General features: G+C 43.7%; 1 protein-coding gene across 1 annotated transcript; it reads left to right on the top strand.

Annotated features, from left to right (window-relative positions):
* Positions 1-286: 286 nt before the first annotated feature.
* On the top strand, positions 287-3,659 carry DEFB132 (defensin beta 132). Its single transcript, NM_207469.3, has 2 exons — positions 287-399; positions 1,640-3,659. Exons 1-2 carry the CDS (start codon positions 342-344, stop codon positions 1,867-1,869), a joined length of 288 nt encoding a protein of 95 aa, NP_997352.1. The 5' UTR covers positions 287-341; the 3' UTR covers positions 1,870-3,659.
* Positions 3,660-8,744: the final 5,085 nt, after the last annotated feature.

Raw genomic sequence — 8,744 nt, forward strand, 5'->3', positions numbered from 1 at the left:
CAGCAACAACGCCAAGAGAATGCTAGTTTCCCCACATCTCACCAACACTGTCTAGAACGCATAGTTTTAGAGATGAACGCTGGGAACCGACGCACTGTTTGCTCTACCTCTCCCCCTCCTAACAGTCTAGAACACAGGCGCTCAATAAATCAATCCAGGCTCCAGTCCAGTAGACATTCTGATCTAATCTGACTGCTCTGGGTAACAGAAAAGTCTCCCTTGGTTCACTGCCCAGTATCCTGGCATCATGTGGATCCTATAAAGGCAGTAGCTCCAAGCACATTACAGAGGGACCCAACTCCATTAAACCACCACCAGCTCCCCAAGCCACCCCTTCAGCCATGAAGTTCCTGCTCCTGGTCTTGGCAGCCCTCGGATTCCTGACCCAGGTGATCCCAGGTAAACTGGATAAATAGGAGGAAAGGAAAACTGGGAACGAGGAACACTAGCATATCTGGTTGCTCTGGTGATAGATGAGCCAGGTTGGGTGGAGGCAGGGCTCACCCCACTGAGTTCCAGTCTAAGGTAGAGATCTCCTAACAACCACCACTAGCCTTGATATCCCACACCCAAACACCACCCTATATAACCTTTACAAAAATTTGTTTTCTATTCTAAAATGATAGTCACCCTCAACCTAAACCAAAATATCTTCTTTCACTTTATGTGAGCTCCTTATATCTAACCTCCTAAGACACACTGAAGGCTTCTGTCATCACCATGTGCATCCATTGAGATCAGCCCGGGTTGGAGCTCAAAGGAGATTTTGAGCCTAGAAGGAAGAGATTGAGGTTCCCATCCCTATGCTCAACAGACAGCTGGCAGGTGGGGGATGGAAGCAGACCTCTTAGAGGGCTAGTTCCCACAGGATGGTAAGCAATGGGTTCAGCTCAAACCCTGGGGCTAGGAGATAATGCAGGGTCAGAAAGAGAGAGAGACAGACACACAGAGAGCAGGGAGAGAGAGAGATCAGAGGAGGGCCAGGCAACGGATGTGAAGAAAGCCAAAGAGGCTTGAGGGTGCTCCGAAGAGGCCCCTGCTGTGAGCCAATGGCAGACACAGAGCACTGAGGCAAACAGATTTCAGCAGATGGTGAAATGGTGCACAGCACTGGGTGAATGCAAAAATGCCCTGTCACTGGCAACCGTTATTTTCTTTTTAATGATTTTGGAGAAAGATTTGACTCCTCCCACTTTGCCCCAGGTTGACTCATATTTACAGTTTTAGAGTCTATGAAAACAAGTAAGGTAGAAACACCTTAAAAGGGAGCCTGTGGGGTGAGTGAGACTAGCCCCATTTCTCCCTTTTGAGTATCCAAGCTCCTCCCTGACCGTGAAGACCAGGCTCCCCACCCCTGTTTTTACCCATACATCCTATTCTGTAGTATCAAATTTAGCAAAAAGCTTCAAAGATGCAGATACTGGCAAAGAAGAAGAGCTCGTCAGACAGAGTTCCCCAAGGCCATCAATCCAGGAAGATTTTTGTCTCCTCATCACTGGCTTTCCCAAGTCTCATTTGCACAACATCCTAAGGATACACCTCAGAACAAAAAGCCAAACACTCCCATCTGGCGCTGACGCTTTAGTAGCCCTGTGCTGCTTCTAACCATGACTTCTCTGTCTTGTCCTCTCCCATACAGCCAGTGCAGGTGGGTCAAAATGTGTGAGTAACACCCCAGGATACTGCAGGACATGTTGCCACTGGGGGGAGACAGCATTGTTCATGTGCAACGCTTCCAGAAAATGCTGCATCAGCTACTCCTTCCTGCCGAAGCCTGACCTACCACAGCTCATCGGTAACCACTGGCAATCAAGGAGAAGAAACACACAAAGGAAAGACAAGAAGCAACAAACGACCGTAACATCATAATAACCACTGCTATCGCCTCCACCAACTCAGAGAAATATCATTTCCACAGTTCCAATTCCTCCTACATTGCTGAGTACTAGCCAAGGCTCCTCTTTATGGGGCAGATATCTATAGCCAACCCCAAAACTTCTGTCTTCTATCATTCTGTCATTCATCTAGTAACTAATTTGGAGTTTGTATCTATCTTACGAGAACAATCATCATGCAGATTCGTCCACAGGGGATCTGTCAGTTTGGGTCCTCCAAATGAAAAATGTCAAGACAGAATTGGACATGCAAAAGATTGACTGGGAGAACACACCTCTGATGGACAAAGGTGAGACAGAGCAGCCACAGGCAGGGAGAGCCTTCAGACTGCAACGCTGGCCTGATACGTGTCAAAGGAGAGAGGGATAGAGGAGGATTGAATAGAAGGAGACTAAGACTGCAGCTCTAAGAAAGTCTCAGCCAAACAGATGGGGAGGCCCAAAGCAAGGCTTGCCCCTCAGAGGAGCTCACGCAGGGCAGGAATAGCCAGGTTCTCATATCCCAGGGGTTCAGACTTTGGCTGAGAACAGCCCCTGGAGAACATGGGGTGACTGCTACCATAGGTCTGGAAGTATGAGGCTGTCCACCAACTATCCCCTTGAAGCAAGTTCTCTTGAAAGGAAATCTAAACAGTGCACCCCCATGGCTGCCACGGAGTATAAGGAGGGAGAGAAAGGAGCTGAAAGTCTAGGTTTGGCCAGCTAGGTAGACTGACTTGTGAGGTATTTATTTATTCATTTGAGTAACAAAGCAGACAGAATACATAGCCACCATTGGTAGTACACCCCAAAAGCAAGGATGGCATGATGCTGGTGACTCAAACGTGCCTACTCATGGTGTCAAATTGGCATAATCCTCTTGGGAAGCTGTGTGGAAATAAGCACAGAGAAGCAGAACTCTAATTGCTTAATCCACTAAACATTACTTCTGGGAATTGGCTCATCATAAATTATCCAAGAGAAGCACAAAGTTATGGGCACAAAGGTTTTCCATATAATATTATTTAAAATGCTGAGAAAATGAAAAAATCTAAATGGTGAAATATATACTAATGCCATCTATAAATACAAACAAATAGAATGTTTATAGAATAATGGAACATAATAACATTATTCAAAATTGCATTTATGCTATAGTTGTCAAAATTGTCTCCTTATATGATACAAAACTCATGAAAATTATGACTTTTTTGTTTGGTTGGAAAGCAGAATTATGCATAAATTTCCTCTTACAGTTCGATGCCCATTAGTTTTATATAACATTTATTTGACACGTACTGACTTCTATCTGAGAAGAACAAACCAAAACACTCAGGCCTAAATAATTAAAAACGGTCCTAAAAACTAGCAAACCAGATAAGAAAAGATGTTAATGCCCATTCCCTAACTTATGTCTTAGACCAAAATTAATTCTAGATGGTTTTAAAATGACAGTGTAAAAGTAAAGTATTAAAAGATTGTGTGGTCAAATATTCAATTTAAGAGCAAGGAAATTCTTATAAATATAACAATAGAGGCAGAACTCATGTAAGAATAAATTGATTAGGTGGTATTAAATATTAAGTTCTTATGTATGTCAAAAGATATCATTTTGAAATTCATCCATCTTATTGGGTATTGCAGGAGTTCATTCCTTTTTGTTTATAAATACTCTTCCGTCATATGAATAGTATTCATTTGTATACTGGTTTGTTGATGGACATTTGGGTTGTTCCCAGTTTATGGCTATTACAAATAAAGCTTCTATGAACATTTATGTACAAATCTTTGTATGGATGTATGCTTTCATTTCCCTAAGGTAAATACCTAGGAGTAGAACGTCTGAATCATATGGTAGGTGAATGTTTAGCTTTTTTGTTTGTTTGTTTGTTTGTTTGTTTGTTTGTTTGTTTTTTGAGATAGAGTTTCGCTCTTGTTGCCCGGGCTGGAGTGCAATGGTGCGATCTCAGCTCACTGCAACCTCCGCCTCCTGGGTTCAAGCAATTGTCCTTCCTCGGCCTCCTGAGTAGCTGGGATTACAGGCACGCACCACCCCCCGACCCCGGCTAATTTTTGTATTTTTAGTAGAGACGGGGTTTCTCCATGTTGGTCAGGCTGGCCTCGAACTCCTGACCTCAGGTGATCCGCCCGCCTTGGCCTCCCAAAATGCTGAGATTACAGGCATGAGAATGTTTAGCTTTTAAAGGAAATACAAAATTGTTTTCCAAAATGGTTGTGCCAGTGGATGTGCCCATCAGCAGGATGTGAAAGTTCCAGCCGTTCCTCATCCTCACCAGCATGTGATATGGTCAGTCTTTTGCATTTTCATCATTCTAATAGATGTGTAGTGGTATTTCATTATGCTTTCAATTTGCATTTTTTTAATAACTAGTTATCAAAAAAGTATATTCTGTATGATTCTATTTACATAAAGTTCTTTAAATTCTTTTAAAATTGCATACAATTATTTAAAATAGAAAGTAAGAATCTAACGACAGAAAGCAGATCACTGGTTGTCAGGGGATGTGAAAGGTGCATGGAGAGGGCTGAAAGAATGTAAAGGGACCTGAGGACACTTTGAGGGGTGATCAGTCAAGACACATTCATAGGCCGGGCGCGGTGGCTCATGCCTGTAATCCCAGCACTTTGGGAGGCCGAGGCAGGTGGATCACGAGGTCAGGAGATCAAGACCATCCTGGCTAACACGGTGAAACCCCGTCTCTACTAAATATGCAAAAAATTAGCCGGGTGTGGTGGTGGGCGCCTGTATTCCTAGCTACTCGGGAGGCTGAGGCAGGAGAATGGCGTGAACCCAGGAGGTGGAGCTTGCAGTGAGCCAAGATCGCGCCACTGCACTCCAGCCTGGGCGACAGGGCGAGACTGTCTCAAAAAAAAAAAAAAAAAAAGATACATTCATAATCTTGATTGAGGTAATGGCTTAATGGGGGTGTACATAAGTCAAAAAATTACAAAATGGTAAACTTTAAATGTGTTCAGTTTATTGTATGTCAATTTAAACTTCCAAAAAAGCTATTATTTTAATAAAATAAATAAATCTCACAGTGAAACAGAAATATTAAAGTATCATAAATAGTTTAAAGACGTATGACAAACTGAGACATGTGATGAAGTATCGATACCAATAAAATATAACAAGTTAACATGAAGCAACAGGGAAAACATGAAACCCCTAGCAGAAAATGAAAAAGTAACATGAACTAGCTTTTTAACTCTATAAACGGCCTGAAAAATGGGAAAAAATCTGTGTGACTGTGATCAAATAAATGCAGATTAAAACTACAATGAGATCTTGTTTTTTACCTATCGGATTGTCAGAGAATTAACAAACCCAAGTCTGACAAGGCATAAATAGAAATAAGTCTCATCATCAGATGCTCCGGTTTATAACTAAATATGTCCATTCTGGAAGACATTTATCTATACAGCTTTCAAAACCCTTAAAAATGTTCATGTTCTGTGGCTCAGAGACTCTACTTTTAGGGATATATTCTGGGGAAATAATTAGAGTTCATATCAAAAAGATTAATGTATATACAGCACAATCATAGCAGCATAGTTTAAAGTAGTGAAGAGGCAGTGGGGTAAGATGGCTGAACAGAAGCCTCCACTGATCATCCTCCCCACTAGAACACCAAATTTGACAACTATCTACACAAAAAAGCACCTTCATAAGAATAAAAAATGAGGTGAGTGATCACAGTACCTAGCTTTAACTTCATATCACCTAAAGAGGCACTGAGAAGGTAGGAAAGACAGTCCTGAATTGCTGACACCGCCTCTCCCCAGTCCTCAGGCAGCAGCTGTGTGGTGTGCAGAGACAATATGTGTACTTGCAGGAGGGAGAGCACAGTGATTGTGGGATTTCACATTGGAACTCAGTGCTGCTAGCACCAGGCAGAACCCAGCAGGTGCCTAAAAGGGATCATTTAGACCATCCCTAGCCAGGGGGACATCACCCATCCCAGAGGTCGGAACTCCAGTTTCCGCAAGCCTCACCACCGTGGGCTAAAGAGCTCTGGGGTCCTAAATAAACTTGAAAGGCCGTATAGGCCACAAGAACTGCAATTCCTAGGCAACTGCTAGTGCTGTGCTGGGCTCAGAGGCAGTAGATTTAGGGACCACTCAACCTAGTGAGACACCAGCTGGGGTGTGTGTGTGTGTGTGTGTGTGTGCGTGTGTGTGTGTGTGTGTGATTCTCGTGCCTCAGCCTCCCAAGTAGCTGGTGATGGCAGTGGCAGCCCATCTGGAGTGGACGCTGCCATCAAGCCAGCTGCAGCAGGGAGGGACAGCTGGGGCTGCACATTCCACAGAGCTGCAGAGCTGGGGACAATGAGAGCCCCACACCTTCCAAGCTGGTGCAGCAGGAGCTCCCCAGGTGCAACTGCAGCCACTCAAGTCACGGCTGTGAACCCCGGCCTCCCTGTGTTCTTGTGGGTGCTGGGAGCAGGCAGGGGTCCTGCACTTTTGGGTGCAGCTGCAGGCGCCCAAACCATGGCTGCGGAACCAGACATCTCTACACTCTTGAGGGTCAGGGAAGTCCCCACTGCCCTCACAAGCTTAGAAGTGCCTGCTCCCACAGCCTGGCGCCTCCCTGCTGTCGGTGCCCGCTCTAATCTTGGAGCAAAGTTGAGGCCAAGCCCAGGTGCTGTCATAGCCTGTTGGGTGTGCACACGCTTGGGGCAGTGCTGACATACCAGCCCCCTGCCGCCTCGGACCCCTACAGACCTCGGGTGCTGACGAGCATAGGAGGAAAGCCGAGGTGGGGCTGAGGGCAGCTCGGCACCTACAGCCTGGGTGCCATGAATGGCAGTAGGAGTCTTCTCAGTTCTGTCTCCCTCCCTTCAGTGTGGATGAAGGGGTAGAAATGAGGTACAGCATCCTGTCTTTCCCAGGGGTCGTGTTGCATCCTTTAATAGTTTACCACTGACAGCACTACCAACGATTTGGGGATTGTGTCTCGAGGAAGCAATTGACCTAAATTTCATGTATCAATGAAACTGTTTTTCCTTATGGTTTTAATTATTTATTTATTTTATAAAATAAAATAAATAGGCTTTTAATATATAATGAAAGCCTTTTAATGTTAACATGCAAGGACTGAAAGAATACCTGTTGGACTGCAAGATGGCTGCTCCCTCTACCCTCAGCTTCAACTGGCCTGTCAGCCAAGCTTTGATTTCCTAGGCAGAATATAAAAGAATTCCTCTCTGTGGTGGTCCAGGAGACCAAGGGAATTTGGGGAGGTGATAGAACTGCACCCTGATCATGCTGGTGGTGAAAACTCGTGCAACCGTACACCCAAATGTCATCTTTTTTACTGTATGTTAATTTTAGAAATCAGAAAGTAAAAGATGCAATCACAAAAATATCATTTGGTAGGACAAACTTATTCAGTATATGAAGATAATAGAGAACTTTTATACAAAAGTGGCTCTTACAAAATATTAATATAAAATATTAAAATATAAATTCTCAAGAGCTATAACTTAAACTTCTATGTTAATTTAGGTAAGCAATTCTCCTATGAAAAGACTTAACGAATTCTTTCCTTTTCTTTTCCTCTTGTCTTTTCATTTTGCTGCAAGGAGCAGCCTTAAAGCTGACTGAAACAGTTATTGTGACCAGCATGTAATGCTTGAAAAGATGAAAATCCAGCTTTAAATATGCTCAATCTCAATAACTTTTTTGGTTTTTTTTTTTTTTTTTTTTTTTGAGACGGAGTCTTGCCTTGTCACCCAGGCTGGAGTGCAATGGCACGATCTCGGTTCACTGCAACTTTCGACTCCCAGATTCAAATGATTCTCCTGCCTCAGCCTCTTGAGTAGCTGGGATTACAGGCACCGGCCACCATGCCCAGCTATTGTTTGTATTTTTAGTAGAGATGGGGTTTCACCATGTTGGCAAGGCTGGTCTCGAACTCCTGACCTCATTATCTGCCGCCTTGGCCTCCCAAAGTACTGGGATTACAGGTGTGAGCCACCGCGCCTGGCCTCAATAACTTTTTAATAGGTATATGCTTAGTTTATTCATGTTTCTTTGCTAGTTTTTTTTCCCTGCAAAGAAGAAGAAGAAAAATAATTTTAAATCTTATTTGAAGGATGATTGTACACTGTGTTATTGGCCTTGGAAAGGAGAGAAGGAGGAAAAGGAGTAGGAAAAGGGAAAATATCTTAAGAGGTTGTACTGTTAATCTACTTCCAGGCAGATTTTAACCACTAAAGCTAAAATGCTATTATGAAATTGAATATTTCAATTGAATATTGAAAATGGTATAATGATGCCGGGTACGGTGGCTCATGCCTGTAATGGTAGCACTTTGGGAGGCCAAGGTGGGTGCATCACTTGAGGTCAGGAGTTCGAGACTAGCCTGGCCAACATGGTGAAACTCTACCTCTACTAAAAATACCAAAAAAATAGCCGGAAATTGCTTGAACCTGAGAGGCAGAGGTTGCAATGAGCTGAGATCATGCCACTGCACTTCAGCCTGGGCAAGAGAGCAAGACTCCATCTTAAATAAATAAATAAATAAATGAAAATGGTATAGTGGCTTGAAGATGCAGGGGCCCATGAGGAAGAACATGGATGGCCCCTAGAAGCTGAAAGCAGCCCCCAGGTGGCAGCCAGCAAGGAAGTGGGGTCTTCAATTCTACACGTGCAAGGAACTGAATTCTATCAACAACCTGAATGAGCTTGGAAGCTGATTCTTCCCCAGAAGCCGCAGATAAGAGCTCAGCCTGCTAGGGGCTTGAGAAAGGGGAAAGTGACTTTAAAAATGTAACTCGAGGGAGTTCCAAAAGGCTAAGCGATTCGGTGAATCTAATAAACATGTTAAAATGCATAAAGTTCGGG

Source organism: Homo sapiens, chromosome 20 (assembly GCF_000001405.40).
Source record: "Homo sapiens chromosome 20, GRCh38.p14 Primary Assembly".
In the NCBI taxonomy this organism is placed as follows: domain Eukaryota; kingdom Metazoa; phylum Chordata; class Mammalia; order Primates; family Hominidae; genus Homo; species Homo sapiens.